The sequence below is a fragment of the Homo sapiens genome, chromosome 3 (assembly GCF_000001405.40).
Source record: "Homo sapiens chromosome 3, GRCh38.p14 Primary Assembly".
Taxonomy (NCBI): Eukaryota; Metazoa; Chordata; class Mammalia; order Primates; family Hominidae; genus Homo; species Homo sapiens.
The window spans coordinates 101,406,831-101,431,302 of record NC_000003.12 but is presented as its reverse complement, the minus strand read 5'-3'; the positions used below and the strand labels follow the sequence as shown (position 1 = coordinate 101,431,302).

The following is a 24,472-nucleotide window of genomic DNA, read 5'->3' as shown; positions in this document are numbered from 1 at the left end:
AATAATAGTGGGAGACTTTAACACCCTACTGTTAATATTAGACAGATCAATGAGACAGAAGGTTAACAAGGATATCCAGGACTTGAACTCAGCTCTGGACCAAGCAGACCTAATAGACATCTAAAGAACTCTTCACCCCAAATCAACAGAATATACATTCTTCTCAGCACCACATTGCACCTATTCCAAAATTGACCACATAATTGGAAGTAAAACACTCCTCAGCAAATGTAAAAGAACAGAAATCACAACAAACTGTCTCTCAGACCACAGTTCAATCAAATTAGAACTCAGGATTAAGAAACCCGCTCATACTGCACAACTACATGGAAACTGAGCAACCTGCTCCTGAATGACTGCTGGGTAAATAACGAAATGAAGGCAGAAATAAAGATGTTCTTTAAAACCAATGAGAACAAAGGCACAACATACCAGAATCTCTGGGACACATTTAAAGCAGTGTGTAGAGGGAAATTTATAGCACTAAATGTCAAGAGAAAGCAGGAAAGATCTAAAATCGACACCCTAACATCAAAATTAAAAGAACTACAGAAGGAAGAGCAAACAAATTCAAAAGCTAGAAGAAGGCGAGAAATAGATCAGAGCAGAACTGAAGGAGATGGAGACACAAAAAACCCTTCAAAAAATCAGTGAATCCAGGAGCTGGTTTTTTTGAAAAGATCAACAAAATAGATAAACCAATAGCCAGACTAATAAAGAAGAAAAGAGCAAAGAATCAAATAAATGCAATAAAAAATGATAAAGGGGATATCACCACCGATCCCACAGAAATACAAACTACCATCAGAGAATACTATAAACACTTCTATGCAAATAAACTAGAAAATCTAGAAGAAATGGATAAATTCCTGGACAAATATACCCTCCTAAGATTAAACCAGGAAGAAATTGAATCTCTGAATAGACCAATAACAGGCTCTGAAATTGAGGCAATAACTAATAGCCTGCCAACCAAAAAAAGTCTAGAACCAGATGGATTCACAGCTGAATTCTATCAGAAATACAAAGAAGAGCTGGTACCATTCCTTCTGAAACTATTCCAATCGATAGAAAAAGAGGAAAATCTCCCTAACTCATTTTATGAGGCCAGCATCATCCTGATACCAAAACCTGGCAGAGACACAACAAAAAAAGAAAATTTTAGGCCAATATCTCTGATGAACATCGATATGAAAATCCTCAATAAAATATGGGCAAACCGAATCCAGCAGCACATCAAAAAACTTATCCACCATGATCAAGTATGCTTCATCACTGGGATGCAAAGCTGGTTCAACATACACAAATCAATAAACGTAATCCATCACATAAACAGAACCAACGACAAAAACCACATGATTATCTCAATAGATGCAGAAAAGGCCTTTGACAAAATTCAGCCCTTCATGCTAAAAACTCTCAGTAAACTAGGTATCGATGGAACATATCTCAAAATAATAAGAGCTATTTATGACAAACCCACAGCCAATATCATACTGAATGGGCAAAAACTGGAAGCATTCCATTTGACAACTGGCGCAAGACAAGGATGCCCTCTCTTACTACTCCTATTCAACGTAGTATTGGAAGTTCTGGCCAGGGCAATCAGGCAAGAGAAAGAAATAAAGGGTGTTCAGATAGGAAGGGAGGAAGTCAAATTGTCTCTGTTTACAGATGGCATGATTGTATATTTAGGAAACCCCATCGTCTCAGCCCAAAATCTCCTTAAGCTGAGAAGCAACTTCAGCAAAGTCTCGGGATACAAAATCAATGTGCAAAAATCACAAGCATTCCTATACACCAATAACTGATAAACAGCCAAATCATGAGTGAATTCCCATTCACAATTGCTACAAAGAGAATAAAATACCTAGGAATCCAACTTACAAGGGATGTGAAGGACCTCTTCACGGAGAACTACAAACCACTACTCCAGGAAATAAAAGAGGACACAAACAAATGGAAAAACATTCCATGCTCATGGATAGGAAGAATCAGTATTGTGAAAGTGGCCATAATGCCCAAAGTAATTTATAGATTCAATGCTATCCCTATCAAGCTACCAATGACTTTCTTCACAGAATTGGAAAAAGAACTACTTTAAATTTCGTATGGAACCAAAAAAGAGCCCGCGTAGCCAAGACAATCCTAAGCCAAAAGAACAAAGCTGGAGGCATCATGCTACCTGACTTCAAACTATACTACAAGGCTACAGTAACCAAAACAGCATGGTACTGGTACCAAAACAGATAGATAGACCAATGGAACAGAACAGAGGCCTCAGAAATCACACCACACATCTACAACCATCAGATCTTTGACAAACCTGACAAAAACAAGCAATGGGGAAAGGATTCCCTATTTAATAAATGGTGTTGTGTAAACTGGCTAGCCATATGCAGGAAACTGAAATGACTCCTTCCTTAGACCTTATACAAAAATTAACTCAAGATGGATTAAAGACTTAACTGTAAGACCTAAAACCATAAAAACCCTAGAAGAAAACCTAGGCAATATCATTCAGGACATAGGCATGGGCAAAGATTTCATGACTAAAACACCAAAAGCAATGGCAACAAAAGCCAAAATTGACAAATGGGATCTAATTAAAGAGCTTCTGCACAGCAAAAGAAACTATCAGCTGAGTGAACAGGCAACCTATGGAATGGGAGAAAATTTTTGCAATCTGTCCATCTGACAAAGGGCTAATATCCAGAATCTACAAAGAATTTAAACAAATTTACAAGAAGAAAAAGAGAACCTCATCAAAAAGTAGGTGAAGGGTATGAACAGACACTTCTCAAAAGAAGACATTTACGCAGCCAACAAACTTCTGAAAAAAATTCTCATCATCACTGGTCATTAGAGAAATGCAAATTAAAACCATAATGAGATACCATCTCACGCCAGTTAGAATGGTGATCATTAAAAAGTCAGGAAACAGCAGATGCTGGAGAGGATATGGAGAAATAGGAACACTTTTACATTGTTGGTGGGAGTGTAAATTAGTTCAACCATTGTGGAAGACTGTGTGGTGACTCCTCAAGGATGTAAAACTAGAAATACCATTTGACCTAGCAATCCCATTACTGGGTATATACCCAAAGGATTATAGATCATTCTACTGTAAAGACACATGCACATGTATGTTTATTGCAGCACTATTCATAATAATAAAGTCTTGGAACCAACCCGAATGCCCATCAATGATAGACTGGATAAAGAAAACATGGCACATATACACCATGGAATACTATGCAGCCATAAAAAAGGATGATTTCATGTCCTTTGCCAGGACATGGATGAAACTGGAAACCATCATTCTCACAAAAGAAACACAAGAAGAGAAAACAAAACACTGCATGTTCTCACTCATAAGTGGGAGTTGAACAATGAGAACACATGGACACAGGGCAGGGAACATCACACACCAGGGCCTGTTGGGGAGTGGGGGGCTGGGGGAGGGATAGCGTTAGGAGAAATACCTAATGTAAATGATGAGTGGATGAGTGCAGCAAAGCACCATGGCACATGTATACCTATGTAACAGACCTGCATGTTGTGCACATGTACCCCAGAACTTAAAGTATAATAATAATAAATAAAAAATTTATTTGATATTCTTTTCTTCAAAAGAAAAAAAAGAAAAAGAAAAAGGAAATTCTGTGCTGATGCATTGTACCTGAATGAAAGCAGAGGTGCATTTTGCCAGGTCCCACAGAAATTTAATTTTGCATGTATTGAGGTAATCATGTGGTTTTTGACTTTAGCTCTGTTTATGTGATAAATCAAATTTTTTTTTTTTTTTTTTTGGAGACAGTGTCTTGCTCTGTCACCCAACCTGGAGTTCAGTGGTGCTATCTGGGCTCACTGCAACCGCCACCTCCCGGGTTTAAGCAATTCTCGTGCTTTAGCTTCCCGAGTAGCTGAGACTAAAGGTGTGCACCACCACTCCCGGGTAGTTTTTTGTATTTTCAGTAAAGACAGGGTTTTGCCATGTTGCCCAGGCTGGTCTCAAACTCCTGAGCTCAGGCAATCCTCTTGCCTCGGTCTCCCCAAGTGCTAGGACTACAGGAGTGAGCCACTGCACCTGGCCTCAAATTTCTGATTTGCATATGTTGAACCCCCGTTTCATCCCAGGTGTAAAGCCTGCTTGATCGTGATGAATAAGCTTTTTGGTATGCTGGTGGATTTGATTTGCCTGTATTTTGTTGAGGACTTTTGCATTGATGTTCATAAAGGATATTGGCCTTAAATTTTTCATTTTGTCTCTGCCAAGTTTTTGTATCAGGATGATGCTGGCCTCATAGAATGAGTTGGGGATGTTAGCTAGTTATTATGCAGACTTGTTTCTGTAGTTGCTTTATGGTGTCACTGGTCTGTGTACTTCAGTGTGTTTCTGTAGTGGCTGGTAACATTGTTTCCTTTCCATATTTAGTGCTTCTTTCAGGAGCTCTTCCAAGGCAGGTCGTGTGGTAATCAATTTCCTCAGCATTTGCTTGTCTGAAAAGAATCTTCTTAGGCTGGGTGCCATGGCTCATGCCTGTAATCCCAGCACTTTGGGAGGCTGAGGTGGGAGGATCACTTGAGGTCTGGCGTTCAAGATCAGGCTGGCCAACATGATGAAACCCCCGTCCCTACTGAAAATAAAAAAAATTAGCTGGGCATGGTGGTGGGTGCCTGTAATCCCAGCTACTCGGGAGGCTGAGGCAGGACAATCACTTGAGCCTGGGAGGCAGAGGTTGCAGTGAGTCAAGATGGTGCCACTGAACTCCATCCTGGGCAGCAGAGCGAGACTCTATCTAAAAAAAAAAAAAAATCTTATTTCTCCTTCACTTATGAAGCTTAGTTTGGCTGCATATCACATTTTGGGTTATAATTTATTTTCTTTAAGAACATTGAATACTGTTCCTCAATCTGTTCTGGCTTTTATGGTTTCTGCTGAGATGTCTGCTGTTAGTCTGATGGGCTTCCCTTTGTAGGTGACCTGACCTTTTTAGCTGCCTGTAACATTTTTTCTTTGATTTTGACCTTGGAGAATCTGATGATTATGTGTCTTTGGGATGATCTTGTGAAATATCTTACTCGGGTTCTCTGCTAGGCCTCTCTAGCTAGGCTGGGGAAGTTCTCATGGGTGACAGAACTCATGAATGATAGGTTGGGGAATGTTGGCCTCTCTGACTAGGTTGGGGAAGTTCTCATGGATGATATTCAGAAATATGTTTTCCATGTTGGTTACCATCTCTCCATCTCTTTCAGGTACACTAGTGAGTTGTAGGTTTAGTCTCTTTACATAATCCCTTATTTCTCAGAGGTTTTGTTTGTTTCTTTTCATTCTTTTTTCTCTATTTTTGTCTGACTGTCTTATTTCAGAAAGTCAGTCTTCAGGCACTGAGATTCTTTGCTCCACTTGGTCTATTCTGCTATTAATACTTGCGATTGCATTATGAAATTCTTGTATATTTTTCAGCTATATCATGTTAGTTGGTTTCTTTGTGTACTGGCTATTTTGTCTGTTAGCTCCTGCATTTTTTTATTGTGATTCTTAGCTTCCTTGGATTGGTTTTCAACATACTCTTGCATCTCAATGATTTTCATTCCTACTCATATTCTGAATTCTATTTCTGTCATTTCAGCCATCTCAGCCTAGTTCAGAACCCTTGCTGGAGAGATGGTTCGGTTCTTTGGAAGAAAGAAGGCACTCGGGCTTTTTGAGTTTTCAGTGTTCTTTTGCTGGTTCTTTCTCATCTTTGTGGGCTTAAGTTCCTTCAGTCTTTGAAGTTGCTAACCTTTGGGTAGAGTCTTTTTCTTTTATCTTGATGACTTTGAGGGTTTGATTGTGGTAAAAAGTGGAGTCAGCCAACTGGCTTTGTTTCTGGAAGATTTTAGGGTACCAGTGCTCAGCTCCCAACTTCTCCTGGACTGTGTGCTCTAACTCTGTGGGACTTGTATCAGACCCCAACTTTGTTCTCTGTTACCTCAAGGTTAGGAATCCACTGTGTTGGGGGGCTGAGGTGCTCCTGGACTGCTGGTCACTACTCTCCAATGGGTGGTGTCAGCTAAAGCATTTCATAGTGCAGTAGTGCAGTGGCAGCTGGATGTATCCTCATTTGCATGTGCCAGCAGCAGTGGTAGTGTATTAGTGTGTTCTTAGGCTGTTGATAAAGGCATACCCCTGACTGGGTAATTTATAAAGAAAAAGAGGTTTAATAGACTCACAGTTCCATGTGACTATGGGGGGACTCACAATTATGGCAGAAGGTGAAAGGAACATCTTACATGGCGGTGGACAAGAGGGAATGAAAACCAAGTGAAAGGGGTTTCCCTTTATAAAACCATTAGATCTCATGAGGCGTATTCACTTCCATGAGAACAGTATGGGGAAACTGACACTATGATTCAGTGAACTCCCACTAGGTCCCTCCCACAACACGTGGGAAGATGAGATTTGGGTGGGAACACAGCCAAACTGTATCACGCAGTGTGGCCTAGTGCATGTCTGTTGGCTGTGGCAAGGTGCTAATGGGTGCCAGGGTGCCTGTCTTCATATGAGTGTTCACCACAGTGGCAGCGGCAATGTGGCTGATGGGGAGCAGGAGTCCCTGCTGGTGACTGTGTGTGTGGTTGTGCTGTTGGTGATGTTGGCACGGGTGTGGTGGTACTGGTGGGTACAGGTCTTTGTGCTTTCTCTGTGCGCTGTAGGCAGGGGTGGTTGCTCAGTGTGGGGGGAAGGTGTGCTGTTCTTTGTGTCTGGCTTCACTTCCTGTCAGTGTTGGTGCAAGGGTGAGGTACTTCCAGGGGCAAGGCTGGCTGGCTTTGTGCTCGCCATGGTTTGCACTGCAATGGTGGTCAGTTGTGGGAGCGGGGTGGACTGCACTCACACAGTGGCAGGGCAGGGTGCATGCACAGTCACATGCTGCTGGGGCAAAGAAAGCAAAACCCTCCTGCACACATATACATCAGCAAAGCAACGTGCGGGGATGGGGGGTGGGTTGCCATGGGCCAAGGGGAAGCTGCGGTGTGTGGAGGGAGTGGCAGGCTTGTGCATGGTTTTGGGGGCCACCCCACTGGAGCTCTCTGCCTGTTAGGCAGGTCCCCCAGTGATACAGGACCCCAGGGCACCCAATGCTGCCCTGCAAGTAGACACCACCAGGCTGCGGCCCTGGGAGTGGCCACAGACCAAGGATGGTCAGGTCAGACTGGCCTTGTTTGATAGGCAAGACAACCCTGCAGAGTTCAGGTCCAACAGTTCCCCTAGGGCTAAAGTCTCTTATGGGAGCAAGTCAAGCCTAGAGGGATGGCCCTCACTGGCCATGCTCTGCTGCAGACTCTCCCGCACCAAACCTTCTGGGCTCCACATCAGCTGGTGTGCTGCCCCTACCACTTCTCTAAGCAGCTCTCCCTGCCAACTGAAGTGTCCGTGGTGGTTGAGGGGTCTCCTCCTGCTGGGATTCCAGAGACCCTTCGGGAGAGTGGATTGCCCCTTGCCAGTTCAACTCACCCATTGCCCCCCAGAGTCACTGGGGGCTATGAATGAGTCCTGGTACATGGTAAGCCTGTGCAAGGTTCCCACCTTCCTCCCTCTTCAGCCTAGCTTCTGTGTCTTCCCTCCATCCAGTCTCTGTGCCTTCCCTCTGAAGATCTATTAGGAGTGCACCCATCGTCTTGGTCCCTTGGTGGTAGCCATTCCACTTGGCTGTGTCTAGTCAGCCACTGTGTTGGGAGCCTGTTTTCATTTCTTTTGGGTAAATACCTAGGAGTTGGATTGCTGGGTCATATGGTAGGTGCATTTTTAACTTTGTAAGAAACTGCCAAGCTGCCATAAGTGATTGTGCCGTATTATATTCCCACCACTAGCCATGTAGAAGGGTTTCATTTTCTCCACACCCCTGCCAACACTTACATGGTCATCTTCTTTATTATCACCCTTTCTAATGGAGGTGTAGCAGTATCTCTTTGTGGTTTTAATTGCATTTCCTTGATGACTGATGATGTTGAACATTTTTTCATGTGCTTTATTGAACTTTAAGAAATCTTCTCTAGGATATCTGTTGAATTTCTTTTGTTCCTTCCTCTTTTTTAAAACTTTTTTTAAAGACCAGAAAAATAAGATTAATGATATTGAATGTCTTTTTGTATGCATGTTGGCCATTTGTGCATTTTTTTGGTGAAGTGTCCAAATGTTTTGTCCATTTTTTTTTGAAGGACAAGAAATACTCTAAATAAAATTATGACAAAAGGCATGAAAACAATGCCTTCATCCCAATTGTTAGTTTATTTTCCGGAATCAAAATGTAGGACTCCAAGTCTGAGGGAGAATTCTTTTTTCTGATTTCTGAATTTATTTGGCCAAGCTATATAATTAAGTCATGTTTATGTATTCATTGATAAACTACTTTTGTTGAAAAATTTTTAAAAAATTGAGGTTTTCTGGAAAACCAGTGTATTTTTTTTTATTCATAGGCAAACATGTTATTTTTTTTCTGCTGTGATTATGCTGGGTCTTCCTACAATTATAAAATTTCTCATATGTAAAATAGAAAAGATACAGTATATTTCTTATTTTTTAGGAATGCGATTTTTTAAAGAATCTGAGTATATGGATCAATGATCATTTCCCCTCATAAAAAATTAAGTGAGTATTAGTATAATGGTTTGGAGCTTTCAAAGGAACACTTTATAAATAGACAGTTGGATGGTTCTAAAAAGCCTAGGCAAGTAACAGGAACCAGCCTACCTAAGTATATAGATTGTTGGGTTAGGTGGAGTTCTCTGTTTAGCTGCCTTTTACTTTTCATTTTTGCTGTGAAATATAATGTAATTAACAAAAAATGACTAAAAGGTAAACAGTTCAATGAATTATTCATTAAATTTAATCTATTTTTAATAAGGTAGATTTTAACCACCACTGAGGTACAAAACAGAAAACTGCCCCAGAAGTTCTCAACCCCTGCAAATGATAACCCTTTAAAGCAGCAGTCCCCAACCTTTTTGGCACCAGGGACTGGTTTCATGGAAGCCAATTTTTCCACGGATGGGGTTGAGAGTGGGGTGGGTTGGTGTTGTGGGGAGTGGTTTAGGCATGAAACTGTTCCACCTCAGATCATCAGGCATTAGATTCTCATAAGGAGTGCACAAGTTAGATCCCTCGCATGTGAAGTTCACAATAGGGTTCGTGCTCCTATGCGAATCTAATGCTGCTGCTGATCTGACAGGAGGCAGAGCTCAGGCGGTAATGCTCGCTCACCCACCGTTCACCTCCTGCTGTGTGGCCCAGTTCCTAACAGACCACAGACTGGTACAAGGCAGTCTGGGGGCTGGGGACCCCTGCTTTAACGATAACCACTCACCTAACTTTCAAAGTAATTACTTTCTTAGTTTTGTTGGATAGTATTGTTACCTAAGTATATATCCCTAAATACTAAATTTAGGTTTTATTTTGCCTGGTTTGAATGTTGTTCTTTACTCTTAAGTTTCTCTTCTGGTATACAGAGAAATCTTATGACACTTAAATGTTGTAGATGTTTAGAATTTTTTCACCTTACTAGTTTGGGGGGAAAAAGATTACTGACTTCTGTTGCCGGATATTTTTAGTCAGACAAATTATAATAAAGTCAAATGTGAAATAAGTATTTTCCCGGAGAAGCCAAATTGTCCGTCTCATTTAGAGCCTCACTATTAGAATAATCAGTAAAATTACCAATGATTTGTTATTTTCCAATATAAATTCTTATTTGGTCTGAGTGAATAGAAAAATGGCTTTTTCCAACATTGAATAGTCTCATATTTGAAATTATTAAAATTACCATTGAGATAATAATTTCCTCAATAATTTAGCAAATACCTAAGTCATATAGTTTTTCCATTAGACTTAATTACATTTTATCCTTAAAATAAATTTCCTTAAAGTTTTGTTTGCATTTTTATTTGGTCATTTAGAATTTTAAATTGTACAGTTGTAAAATGTATAAATAATAGACTGGTAGTCTTTAAACATTTTGGCACATTTGCCGTCTCTCGGTGTCTCTTTATGCATGTATATAGATGGGCATCACATATATACATATATACATGCACATATACATACATTTTTTGGGGAACCATTTGAGAGTAAGTTGCAGGCATCATGGTATTTTATCTTCAGATACTTCAGCTTGCTTTTCCTAAGAACAATAACATTCTCTTACATAACAATTATAATATACTATCAAGAAAATTAACAGTAATTTCATATCATCATCTGCTATAAAGTCCACAATCAGAATTTCCCGAGTATTCCCAAAATGTCTTTTATTTATTTATTTTTAAATCTATTTGGCCAAAACTGCAGTTACTTTTGTACCTACCTAATAGAATCAAGTTCAGGTTCATGCATTGTATTTGGTTATTATACCCCATTAGTCTCTTAATCTAGAAGAGTTCCCACCTGCTCTGCCCTTTCCCTTTTAACCATCACATTGAGTTTTGAGGAGTCCAGACCAGTTGTTCTGTAGAATGCCTCACAGTCTATATTTTTATTATTTTATTGGTCTTGCCCATATGATTAGGTCCAGGTTACATTTTTGGCAGGAATATTTCATACCTGATGTCATGTACTTCTTACTGCACATATCAGGGGGTAACATAATTTCTGGTTGTTTCACTCTTAGTACTCCTATGTTTGATCACTTGCATAAGATGGTGCCTGCCAGATCTGTTCATTGTAAAGACACCTTTTCTTCTTTGCAATTAATAATCATCTGTGAACTCAATTATCTGTTTGCAGGAAAAAAGGATATTTGTGGCATTATAAATGTGTTAATCTCACAGGGATTTCTTAACTGTAAGACAACGTGTGTTTCTTTAGTAAGCTTGTGTTCCCCCTCTCTACAAGGATTATTTGAAAACTTTTTTCAAACCTATGTTCCTTTATCTTTCCTATCACTTTTTTTTTTTGAGACGGAGTCTCGCTCTGTCGCCCAGGCTGGAGTGCAGTGGCGCAATCTCGGCTTACTGCAAGCTCCGCCTCCTGGGTTCACGCCATTCTCTTGCCTCAGCCTCCTGAGTAGCTGGGACTACAGGTGCCCGCCACCATGCCCGGCTAATTTTTTGTATTTTTTAGTAGAGACGGGGTTTCACCATGTTAGCCAGGATGGTCTCGATCTCCTCACCTCGTGATCCACCTGCCTTGGCCTCCCAAAGTGCTGGGATTACAGGCGTGAGCCACAGCGCCTGGCCTCCTATCACTTTTAAGAGAAGGTCTTGGTTGGAATGCCTCTTCTCCTGTCATAAACCAGTGTAGTGTGAAGCAGTTAAGAGTGCTGGCAAGAAATTTGAGAGTGTGTGGTTCTGAATCGCATTTTCACTACTCACTCGTTTTACTTAGATATTAATCAGCCTATCTTGGTCTCCTCAGCTGCATGAGAAGAATAATTTGTAAGCCCCTCATGGAGTGGTTGTGAGGATTAAATGAAATAAATCATTGTAAAATGCTTAGCACAGTGCCTGGTATATAGTACATGTTCAATAAATATTAGCACTTAATGCAATTTCTTGGGAAACTTACTGTGTTAATTATCCTGCCTTCTGTGTCTTTAACCCTTACGTGCTTCCCATAAGCATTTAAACTTACACAAATCTTTCCTATCTTTAACTAATCAACCAGTAACTGACTAAAAACCCTTTCCTGCTTCTCATGTCTATTTTCAGGTCTTGTCTTATTTTCCACTTTCACAACCATATTTCTCAACTACTTTCATTTGCTATATCCCTTTGCTCCTTTCCCTTTGCTGATCCCACTGTATTCTGGTTTCTGCTCCCACCATTCTTCTAAACTACCTCTGATAAAGTCATCATCTCCGTAAATTAATTTTTATTCCTCATTATTCCTAGCACTTCCATTTTATTCTTCATAAACATCAAAATGATCTTTTAAAAGTGTAGCTCTGATCTCAGTGTTTCCTAATTAAGACTAGTGGATTTCCATTGTTGTTGACATAAAGTCTCACATCCTTAATATGGTTTGCTAAGTCCTGCCTAACTGCCCATTCTTAGACACATTACCTCTTTATTCTAAGTACATGAGTCAGGTAAGTCCTTTAATTTCTTTGAAGAAGCTTTACTCAAAACATTTGCATTTTGTCCTGTTTTTTGGACCTTTCTCCATTTTTTACTTGTTTCCTTTGGATAGTGCCTGTCCTTCTTTGAGACTTCAGCTTCAAGGTCATATTCTCAGAAACTTGGCTCAGAAGAAGTGCAACATCTGTATTTCTTCTTCATAGCACATATTAGAATTCTAATTAAATAATGAATTGGTTTATTCTCTGTAATGTACACCCCATGAAGGCAAAAACTCAACTATTTTGTTTGTAGCTGAAACTCCAGATTATACTAGCATCGTTGTTTTGCTGGAAGATGTTCAGTAAGTGCTTGTAGAATGAATTATTATTGATCCATAGAGATGTCATTTATTTTTTAATAATTTTAAAACTAATAGCTTAATTTTTTTTTGTGTGTGTGCAACATGTTTGGAGTTTTCAGTGTTCTATGGAAGTACCCTGGGAACTTGTACCCTCTTCCCACTAGATGGTTTGGGGATATACACTCAAATGGCTGCTGCAAACAAGTGGTTTTTTTTTTTGAGAGTTCCCGTTTTATCTTGAAAATATGTGAACATATTGCTGTTTCTTAATATTCTTGTGTTTGTTAAGCAAACAAACAAAAAGTGCCTAAAACTGTTTCATAGGTAGTAAAATAGACACTCTTCTGATTAAACATTTCCCAGTACTTTCAGCCATTCCTCACTTGACATTGTTTTAAATGCACTTGGTAGCCTGTTCACACCACTGCAGAAACTATATTCCATAGTTTTTGGAATTCCAGAACTAAACATAGTTATTCAAATATTCAGCATAAAGATGTATTGAATGAGAAGATGGGTAAAACATGATGGGCAAAAGTGTTGCTGGAACTGCTTGCATTTGTCAGTCTTTTTTTTTTTTTGAAATTGGTATAGGTACAGTAAGGTAAATTTTTTAAGTTGACCTATTTTAGAAATAAGATAAAATTAAATCTGTATCTTAAGACTGTATAGCCTTAAGAATGTAAGTGATGCAGTAGTGGACCCTTAGTTTTAATAATGTTTTCTGAATCAACAAATGCTAAAACAAAAACACATTTTTAGCACAAACAGTGGTTACATCTGTGATGAGATCTGCAAATGAACACTGTCCTTCAACTAACATTGTTAATAAACATGAATGCATTGCCAGGAGTCTAGCAGCTGTACATGTGTAATGATAGTTGTAGTAAACTTGACAGAATTCTGAAGAAAATCCCAACTTAAGTGAAATAGATTTTACTTTTTAAGGTATCTTTGATAATAGTTAGGCATTTTTTCTTTTTTCTTAGGGTATTTACTATAGTTGCTTGAGGAACTGAAGTTTACAGTTTCTGGAGATATTAGTTTGTGATGAATTCATGTATTCTACAATGTGTAGTACCATATATACTAATTATTTATGTGTATAACAGGCAACTCAAAGTTATGTTGACGAATGTCCTATGGACGGATTTAGGACGAAAATTCAGAAAGACCCTACCTAGAAACGATGCTAATTTATGTGATGCCAACAAGGTGCAATCAGACTCATTGCCTTCGACATCTGTTGACAGCCTAGAGACATGTCAAAAATTAGAACCTCTTCGCCAAAGCCTTAATTTATCTGAAAGGTATGTTGTTCAGTATTGATTTTGTTCAACTTACCACATTTGAAATAATATGAATCCCGTACTCCTAATGATAAAATTGTTGAAATGACCTGAAAGGAGATTTGCATATATAGGCATACCACACTCTAAAGCAAATCTTAAAGCTGCCTATCTTAATTTACAGAGTTAGCTGATGTTTCTGTACTTCATTAAGCAGATTGACATGGAATTATATTTAAAAACGAGTATCATTAGTACATTTAACTTATTTAAATTTGATACATGTACACATCTTTTTAGGGATTATTTTATGATTAAAATGAAGATACATATATATACGTGTGTGTATATGTATTATATGCATATAAATGTGTGTGTATATATGTGCATTAATATTTTCTTCATCTTTAACATTCTTTCAAAATGTTATCTAATCTAGATCCTAACCACTTTTGACTTTTTTGAGCTTGTATTTTAAATGAATTTTTAAAACAGGAGATGATGTTAAAATATTGCCTCTAGGTTTTTAATAGTAAATGTTCAGTTTAATTTTGTAGAGTAACAAGACCAATTTCTGTTTTGTGTTTTTTGAAAGAATTATATGGGAGTTTGGGGCTGAAAACTAGGAATTAGCTCTAGGAATCTATAACATAATATCTTTTATACATCACGATTTACAATTTCAGCCATTAAATGAATGTTTTGGAGGGAAGGTACTTTATTTTCAGTTAGAATAACTTACAATTAGCGAGACAGTACTTTGGTTATATGGTCTGTAATCTGAATGACAGTATATAAGTACTTTAAACCAAGACCCAGATAAAAACTGCTAACTTTCAACACAGTTATTTTTAAAATAAAAGTAGAATTCTTGTCAAAACATCTGAAGATATTACACATTAATTTTTAAAGAGAATACTTCTTTTAAAAAGACAAAATCATAAAAAGCCAAGTTTAACGAAGAAATTTCTTACTAGCTCATACCTGATATAAATTTAATTTTCTAAAACACTGTAAATCTTAAGAGTCAGACAGCTTAGCATCAGTAATTTATGAAGCAGCTTGCTCTCATTCTATGTTCTAGCAGATTTCTTCCCCAGTACAGGTTAATCTCTTACTGCACTGACAGATGTAAATAAAAGGGCTACTTAAAGGAATGGCTTTCTAATATCTTTGACTCTTTTGAAAGGAACCTTTAAACTCTCTTCAAATGACAACAAACTCATCAATCGCCTCATCCTACATCTGTCCTTTTTCCAATCAGAACAGTGTGGTAGTCCATTCTCTCAGAATAATAGTTTTACCACTAGGAATTTTTAGCACATAGATTATGTGCTCATGAAATTCAAATATAATATGAAGTAAAGAGTCCCAGTAAGATTCTAATTTGTTTTTTGCTGTGTTTTAAAATTGTTGTTGTCTATTGTTCAGTTAGTGGGTGAGCTACCAGCTAGTCCAGACCTCTTTCCTCAGCTCCAGGTGTCCTAAACTCAACTTGTTGTAAAGTGAGAACCTCATCTTTTCTCAAACTTGTGCCTGTTTTTGTATTCCCCTCTATCTGAGTGATTGACACTACTTACAAATTAGAACTTGGGAATTGTCTTTGACTCCTCTTTTTTCCTTATCCTTATATCCAGTCATTTAACATATATACATATATATATTTTTTTGGGGGGCGGTAGAAAATTAAACCTTATTTAATTTTAAAACCAAACCACTAGGAAAATATATCATAGCCTGGAAACAGTAAATGGACAGGCTGTGTTATCACTTCAAGTAATAAGTTGGTGAAAATACAATGAGGTTGCTATCAAAACAATAAGGTGCCATGCTGGGGCAGGAACACTGTGTTGCAAAAGCCCCAGGCAAAAATGGTATTTGGTAATGGGGGCTGCCTCTCCTTTGCTTTAAAGAAGTCAGCTCATCCTAGCCCAAGTTGCTTACTTTTTCTTCCTTGAATTTCCTGCTGCCAGGGGTTTGTCTTAGTTGTGCTCTGTTAATTCAGGGGGCTAAGTATGTAATGCTAGGTTTAGGCTTTCATTCTATCTGTTCTATAAAAACCAGGTTTTTCCAAATCCAGTACTTCATAACTTTTATAATCAAGTAGCCAACTGCTCCTCTTTTACTGTTCATTCCTAGATACTAGTATATATCACAATCAAAACCCCTTTCTCTTCCAAGGGGAAAGTGTTACTGCAAGATTGTCCTGTCATTTTGCTACACACAGCCTCAGGGTCCATCAGGCAGTAATTATGCTTCCCGTAATTAGTGTGTCCTCGCCTCTCATGTTTTTGCATGGTCTCCAGGCTGAAAGATGCAGCATGTAATAATTTTAAGAAATGTACATCCACATCTTGATGACCAGAAATGGGGATCAAGGAACCTTTCAAAGTTCTTATCTAAACTAGTCTCCCTCCCAATTCCACATCTTAAAATCAACTTGTATGCCCTTGTATAAATTACACAAAACCAAGAAAACAAAGACCCAGAAAACTTTTTTTTCCCTTCTAAGTTAGTGACCTCATGGATTTTGTTTCACAGCTTATGGAAAATGGTGTGGTGACACTTCTGGTAAACAGGATGTTGGCAACAAAGAGAAAATATCTTTCTTCAAACTCCACCAACTCTAACCTGCCAGCCTATTGGTACCTGTGTAGTAAGAAGAGTCTGGTGTGTTGGAGGGCTCTGGCCTGTTACAGGGGAGATCCTTACTGCCAGGACAAGCACTGGCCACAGGAAATATAAGATCTAAAACTCTCCTGTAAATCTCTGACCCAATTTAACACCACTTTTTTCCATTTCATGTTTTAGGACTGAAACATGAAAGAACCAGTGTCTAGAGGCAAGTGACATATGCATTACACTTGTGGCCATCCTTAATTTCTTCATTCATAAACTTTGCTTAAAATACTAAAGTTCCCAAATGCCTTATAAAAAATATATTCTTGCCCTCAGCCCCCATGGCCACTGGCAAAGACTTTTATTTCCCAATGGCTAAGAGAGCTTCCTTCATCTTCTTGGTCATAGTTGGGATGAGGTGCATGTGGTCATCCACACACTTGGTCACACAACCGTCCAGCTGCTGCTTCACCTGAAGCTCCTTACTCCCAGCAGCTATTGAATCTTTGGCTTTGTTGTTGCATTGCGTGGTACACTGGGCCAGGTGGTCCTGGAACTTCTCCAACTCACTGGTGACCAAAGCCTGGGCTTGAGCCAGAAGCACATGGCAGTGCTTGATGCACTGGTGCACCTGCTGCAGGGAGGCCTGGCTGTCCTCACAGCAGCTGGTGCTGCACCGGAACATGAGACCCTGCATCTTCCGGATGTTCTCTCTCTCCAGACTCTTCACCATCGATTCTACCACTCGTCACCTGCAGCTGCTGTAGCTGTTATGGTGACCCCACACTGCCCCATGCTGTGCGGCCATATATAGTTATTTTTAACCCCTAAATCTGTCTTTTAAAGGATCTGTTCTCCATCTTTATTGCCAGTGCATCAGTTCAAGCCCTAATAACTTCGTGCCTTTATTACTATGGTAGTAACTTGATTAGGTTTCCTTTACGTAGTCTTTTTCTTCTTGTTTTATTCTTTATGTTGTTGTCAAAATATTTATTCTAAAAGGCAGATCTTACTTGCCACTTACTAGTTTAACATCTTTCAATGGCTCCACATAATCTTCTGGATAAAGTTCAAACTTCTTAGTTTGGCACACAAGGCCCTTAATGATCTCGCCTTTGCTTATCTCTAGCTTTGTGTCTGTCTGTTCCTCCATATTCACAATGTACTTCAGGTTTAGGGAACTATTTTCAGCTTACTGAATGTATATACTGTTGTATACATCCTGTTTGTTTTCTTGTCTTGGAAACTATCCCCCCCCTCCCTTTTTTTTTTTAAGGAAGCCTTCCTTGATTCCACCCTCCAAATCTATATATGATCCCTTTCTTTTTCTTGCTAAACAGCTTGTTAGTATATCATAACGCTTATCACACTATGTTGTGATTTTTAGTTCTCTTCCTCCCTGTAGCAAACTTCCTGAGGATAGGAACTATATTTTATTTCTTATTTTTTCTTTATTCCTAATATAGTACTGGACACTTATTAAATGCTCAATTAATGTTTGCTGGATAAAAGAAAGAGATTGCTTCTCACCAGAGTTACATCTCTAGACTCTTTGTCTAACATATATTTTCCCTGTAAGAACCAATTATATACTCAGTAATTTTGGTGACAACCAGGAAAAGAGATATTACAAGCGTCAAATAAGGAAACTGGAGAACTCTTGTGTATGGCTTTGGATAGATGTTTTCTACCTGATACTTGCTATATATAATAGGAGACTTAGGCTTTTTTCAGTCTTTGCTTAACTTTGATATGAGGCTTTTTGTTTTATTTTCATTTCTACTCAGGACTTAAAATTTTAGAAAGATAAGAGGGAGAAACATTTATTTTTGCATTTTAATTTTATCCTAAAGTTTAATCATTGAGTAAACTGAAATTACTCATTCAGTTCCAGAAATGGTATTTTGTTGGACATTTTATTTGCTTTCTGGAATCTAAAGTAGTGAACTAAGTATCTTGCCTTTTATGTGAGGGCAGTTTGGCTTTTTGATTTCAGGATAAAATTGAGAAGAAAAATAGAAAAGACAGTTCAAATCAATCTTGTAAGTAATGGAGAAAAGGGTTTTAGCAGTATCAAAAGAGTTTTAGAAATATCAAACTAGCAGTATGTGGAATGCACATTTATTTTTTAAAAATATGTAAACTGCATTTTAGTGTTAGTTTTATCTCCATGTATGGTTCATATCTATTTTCCTGGGAGAAAATTCCAGACATCTATAAGTCTTTGTCAATAGGAAAGAAAGAACCTAGTGGGACACTTATACAAGGCTTTTGAGAAAATAAACTATCTTTCTTCTGCTTTCATCAGTTTGTACCAGAGATCGTTAGAGAAATATGGAGATAGTGTACCCATATTCCATTAAGAAGAGTTAGCTGCTGGTACTTGGAATTTCTGTAAATATATTTATTTATCTTTGTCTTAAATTTATATGTGTTTAAAATTAAAAAGAATTACGTATTCCAGATATGTGATGGTAAAACTATTTGGATATTGCAGTGTTCCTGTCATTTTAAGATTTTTAAAGCCAGTAATCTAGTTGAGTGATAATTATTCACTTAAAATTTAGCTTAATAAAAGAACAAATTTAGAAACTAATCTGTGAATCTCTTTAATAAAGTTACTCAAAGATTAAATTTTTTATACATACCTTTAAGATGCTGATTTAGAAGGTATATTTTAAATTATATCATCTGGGACAAGCATAGAGTTATGAGAATCCTCTTAAAATGCCACATAGCACAATTTTAGAAAGGAATTCATTGCAGCAAAATGAAAACTAAATTAGTATTGTAATTTTTGGCTCATTATAGATTTATTAATGGATATAATTATGTTATCTTTCAGCAAAGACTTCATTTCTCTAAAAATTTGCTCTATATATGAAGTTGTATGTTAATAGCTCTTTCTAGTTCCTCAGAGTTTTCCCTGCATTATTAAGTTATTTGAATATGACAGTTTCCTTGCTATTTAAACAAGGAAGGAACCTGTAGTTTGCAATTGAGAAAACTAAGAGTCAGAGAGAATAATCATGCAGAGACACAGTCAGAAAATGATACTACTTCTCAGGCCAGTATACTTTCTGCTACCTCTCACTGCATTTCAAAATTTGTTTCTGCTTTGGTTTAGTGTATTTATGATATTTCGAAGTGGGATTTCATAGTATTAGTAAATAAAATTAAATAAATAATACCTTACGTACTGATACTGTTTACATACTTAGGAAAAAATTGGGTAAATGTGTGAAATGACAACTTTAGTTCTTCCTTCCAGATTCAGATAGTATGAAAGATGAAGTATACACCTTTATATACTTCAATTCCTTGCAGAAATTCAGAACTTCTGAAATGCTGGCTAGCCCTGGAATGTCCTTGACTGTGCTAATTTATAAACCTGTACTGCAAAAGACAGCTAGGTATTGTTAATTTAGCTCTCAGTTTATAGATTTGTGTTCTTCAAGCCTATCACACAAAGTTCCTTGTTTCCTCAGGGTACCCAAACTGGATAAGTTTTCAATAGTTGATGAAAGGTGTTTGGGCTGTGGCTGTGTGCTATGAAGAGCTATGTGTACTGTAGTCATTGCTAACTGTTTAATTATATACTTTAATTGTATATTGAAAATTGCAAACATCTAATAAGATTTTTTATCAAGATTGCAGAGCATAGTAAATTATAAGTATTATTTGAAAGGGTAGTTTATAGCTTTGAGCAAGACTACAATAATATGAAAATTATTACAGAAATATGAAAATTAAGTGATATTCCATTTATTGTGTATTTACTATGTGCCAGGAATTATGCTAACTGCTTTCCATCTATTATCTCATTGAATCTTAACAACTTTGTAAGGGAGATATTATTCTTCCCATTTTAGAGATGAGAAGATCAATGTGTAGAGGTAGAAATTATGGTAATTAACTTGCCCAAGGATTTATAGTTATAAGGTGGTAAAATAAGAATCCAAACCTATGTTGGTCTAACTTCAAAGTCCTTGCTGTTAATTCCTGTGCCATACTGCTTCTCTTTGCATTTTCACCCTTCTGAACTTTAATTTTTGTCATCAGTAAAGTAGGAATTGGACTTTGCTACAGATACCATATCTAATTCTTTTATTTTATTTTATTTTATTTTATTTTATTTTATTTTATTTTTGAGACAGAATCTCACTCTGTCATCCAGGCTAGAGTGCAGTGGCGCAGTCTCTGCTCACTGCAACCTCCGCCTTCCAGGTTCAAGTGATTCTTGTGCCTCAGCCTCCCGAGTAGCTGGGATCGCAGGTGTGTGCCACCATGCCCGGCTAATCTTTGTATTTTTAGTAGATGGAGTTTTGCCATGTTGGCTAAGCTGGTCTCGAACTCCTGACCTCAGGTGATCCACCCATCTTGGTGTCCCAAAGTGCTGGGATTACAGGCGTCAGCCACTGTGCCCGGCCTATACCATGGTTTCTTTATCCACTTGTTGATGGATGGGCATTTGGGTTAGTTCCACATTTTTGCAGTTGTGAATTGTGCTCCTATAAACACGTGTGCAAGTAGCTTTTTCCTATACTTCCTTTCCTCTGGGTAGATATCCAGGAGTGGGATTGCTGGATCAAATGGTGGTTCTACTTTTAGTTCTTTAAGGAATCTCCGCACTGTTTTCCACAGTGGTTGTCCTAGTTTACATTCCCACCAGCAGTGTAGAAAAGTTCCCTTTTCATCACATCCATGCCAACATCTACTATTTTTTGATTATGGCCATTCTAGCAGGAATAAGGTGGTACCGCACTGTGGTTTTGATTTGCATTTCCCTGATCATTTGTGATGTTGAGCACTTTTTCATATGTTTTTTGGCCATTTGTATATCTTCTTTGAGAATTGTCTATTCATATCCTTACCCCACTTTTTGATGAGATTGTTTGTTTTTTTCTTGTTGATTTGTTTGCATTCATTATAGATTCTGGATATTAGTCCTTTGTCAGATGTATACATTGTGAAGATTTTTTCCCACTCTGTGGGTTATCCGTTTACTCTGCTGACTGTTCCTTTTGGTATGCAAAAGCTCTTTAGTTCAGTTAACTCCGAGCAATTTAACTTTGTTTTTATTGCATTTGTTTTGGGTTCTTGGTCATAAAATCCTTGCCTAAGCCAATGTCTAGAAGGGTTTTTCCAATGTCATCTTCTAAAATTTTTATAGATTCAGGTCTTAGATTTAAGTCCTTAATCCATCTTGAGTTGATTTTTGTACAAGGTGAGAGATGAGGCTCCAGTTTCATTCTCCTACATGTGGCTAGCCAATTATCCCAGCACCATTTGTTGAAAAGAGTGTTCTTTCCTCACTTTATGTTTTTGTTTGCTTTGTCAAAGATCCACTTGGCTGTAAGTATTTGGGTTTATTTCTGTGTTCTCTATTCTCTTCCCTTGATCTAGGTGTTTATTTTTATATCAGTACCATGCTGTTTTGGTGACTTTGGCCTTATGGTATGAGATCAGGTAATGTGATGCCTGTAGATTTGTTCTCTTTGCTTAGTCTTGCTTTGGGTATTCAGGCACTTTTTTGATTTCATTTGAATTTTATAATTGTTTTTTCTAATTCTGTGAAGAATGATGGCGGTATTTTGATAGGAATTGCATTGAATTTGTAGATTGCTTGTAGCAATATGGTCATTTTCACAATATTGATTCTACCCATCCATGAGTATGGGATGTGTTTCCAGTTGTTTGTGTTGTCTGTGATTTCTTTCAGCAGTGTTTTGTAGTTTTCCTTGTAGAAGAGGCCTTTTGACTCTTTGGTTAGATATATTCCTAAGTATTTTATTTTTATTTTTTGGCAGCTATTGTAAAAGGGGTTGAGTTTTTGATTTGATTCTCTGCTTGGTCGCTGTTGGTGTATAGAAGAGCTGCTGATTTATGTACATTAATCTTGTATCCAGAAACTTTACCGAATTCTTTTATCAGTTCTAGGAGTTTTCTGGAGGAGTCCTTAGGGTTTTCAAGGTAAATGATCATAGCGTCAGCAAATAGGGACAGCTTGACATCCTCTTTATCGATTTGGATGCCCTTTATTTTTTCTCTTGTGTGATTGCTCTGGCCAGGACTTCCAGTACTATGTTGAAGAGGAGTGGTGAGAGTGGGCATCCTTGTCTTGTTCCAGTTCTCAGAGGGAATGCTTTCAACTTTTCCCCATTCAGTATTATGTTGGCTGTGGGTTTGTCATAGATGGCTTTTATTATATTGAGGTATGTCCCTTGTATGCCGATTTTGCTGAGAGTTTTAATCATAAAGAGATGCCGGATTTTGTTGAATATTTTTCTGCATCGATTGAGGTGATCATGGGATTTTTGTTTTTAATTCTGTTTATGTGGTGTGTCACATTTATTGACTTACGTATGTTAAACCATCCTTGCATTCCTAATATGAAACCTATGTGATCATGGTGGATTATCTTTTTGACATGTTGTTGGATTCAGATAGCTCATATTTTGTTAAGGACTTTTGCATCTGTGTTCATCAGGGGTATTGGTCTGTAGTTTTCTTTTTTTAATGTCCTTTCTTGGTTTTGGTATTAAGGTGATGCTGTCTTCATGGGATGGTTTAGGGAAGGTTCCCTCTTTCTCTATCTTGTCGAATAGTGTCAATAGGATTGGTACCAGTTTTTCTTTGAATGTCCAGTAGAATTCTGCTGTGAATCCGTCTGGTCCTGGGCTTTTTTTTGTTGTTGGTAATGTTTAAATTACCATTTCAATCTCACTGCTTGTTATTGGTCTGTTCAGGGTACCTAATTCTTCCCGATTTAAGCTAGGAGGGTTCTATCTTTCCAGGAATTTATTCTTCTCTTCTAGGTTTTCTAGTTTATGAGTATAAAGGTGTTTATAGTAGCCTTGAATGATCTTTTGTATTTCTGTGTTGTCAGTTGTAATATCTCCCGTTTTGTTTCTTATTGAGCTTATTTGGATTTTCTCTCCTCTTTTCTTGGTTAATATTGCTAATGGTCTATCAATTTTATTTCTCTTTTCAGAAAACCAGCTTTTTGTTTCATTTATCTTTTGTATTTTTTTTGTTTTAATTTCATTTAGTTCTGCTCTGATCTTGCTTGTTTCTTTTGTTCTGCTGGGTTTGGGTTTGATTTGTTCTTGTTTCTCTAGTTTTTTGAGGTGTGACCTTAGATTGTCTGTGCTCTTTCAGACTTTCTGATGTAGGCATTTAAGGCTATGAACTTTCCTCTTAGCATCGCCTTTGCTGTGTCCCAGAGGTTTTGATAGGTTGTGTCACTATTGTTGTTCAGTTGGAAAAGTTTTTTAATTTCCATCTTGATTTCATTTTTGACCCAGTGATCACCAGGAGCAGGTTATTTAATTTCCATGTGTTTGCATGGTTTTGAAGGTTCTTTTTAGAGTTGATTTCCATGTTTTATTCCACTGTGGTCTGAGAGAGTGCTTGGTGTAATTTCAGTTTTCTCAAATTTATTGAGGCTTGTTTTGTGGCCTATCATATGGTCTGTCTTGGAGAAAGGTCCATGTGCTGTTGAATAGAACATATATTCTGCGGTTGTTGGATGGAATGTTCTGTATATATCCATTAAGTCCATTTGTTCCAGTGTATAGTTTAAATCCACTGTTTCTTTGTTGACTTTCTGTCTTGATGGCCTGTCTAGTGCTGTGAGTGGAATATTGAAGTCCCCTACTATTACTGTGTTGCTGTCTATCTCATTTCGTAGGTCTATTAGTAGTTGTTTTATAAATTTGGGAGCTCCAGTGTTAGGTGCATATATGTTTATATTTTCCTGTTGGACTAATCCTTTTGTCCTTATATAATGCCCCTCTTTGTCTTTTCTAACTGCTGTTTCTTTAAAGTTTGTTTTGTCTGATATAAGAATAGCTGGTCCTGTGAGATTTATGTTTTAAAGAGGTTCTGTTTTGATGTGTTTCTAGGATTTGTTTTAAGGTTTAGAGCTCCTTTTAGCAGTTCTTTTAGTGCTTGGTAATGGCGAATTCTCTTCCCATTTGTTTGTCTGAAAAAGACTGTATCTTTCCTTTGTATATGAAGCTTAGTTTCGCTGCATACAAAATTCTTGGCTGATAATTGTTTTGTTTGAGGAGGGTGAAGATAGGGCTCCAGTCCCTTCTAGCTTGTAGGGTTTTTGCTGAGAAATCTGCTGTTAATCTGATAGTTTTTCTTTACAGGTTAC

At 37.7% G+C, this 24,472-nt stretch overlaps 1 protein-coding gene and 1 pseudogene across 18 annotated transcripts in view; one reads left to right on the top strand and one right to left on the bottom strand.

Moving 5' to 3' along the window:
* Nucleotides 1-24,472, top strand: part of SENP7 (SUMO specific peptidase 7) — a 189,008-nt gene that overhangs the window by 81,910 nt on the left and 82,626 nt on the right. For 12 of the 18 annotated variants that reach the window (XR_007095714.1, XR_007095713.1, XM_017006926.2 and 9 more), the window contains one exon: nt 13,513-13,710. The exons of the other annotated variants lie outside the window; for them this stretch is intronic. Coding sequence is in view for 10 of the 12 variants with exons in the window: in XM_017006926.2 (XP_016862415.1) it covers nt 13,513-13,710 (198 nt within the window). In the remaining 2 variants the exon portion in view is untranslated. The remainder of the gene's footprint in view (nt 1-13,512; nt 13,711-24,472) is intronic. 18 annotated transcript variants of the gene reach the window in all.
* Nucleotides 15,367-17,101, bottom strand: FAM136CP (family with sequence similarity 136 member C, pseudogene; annotated as a pseudogene).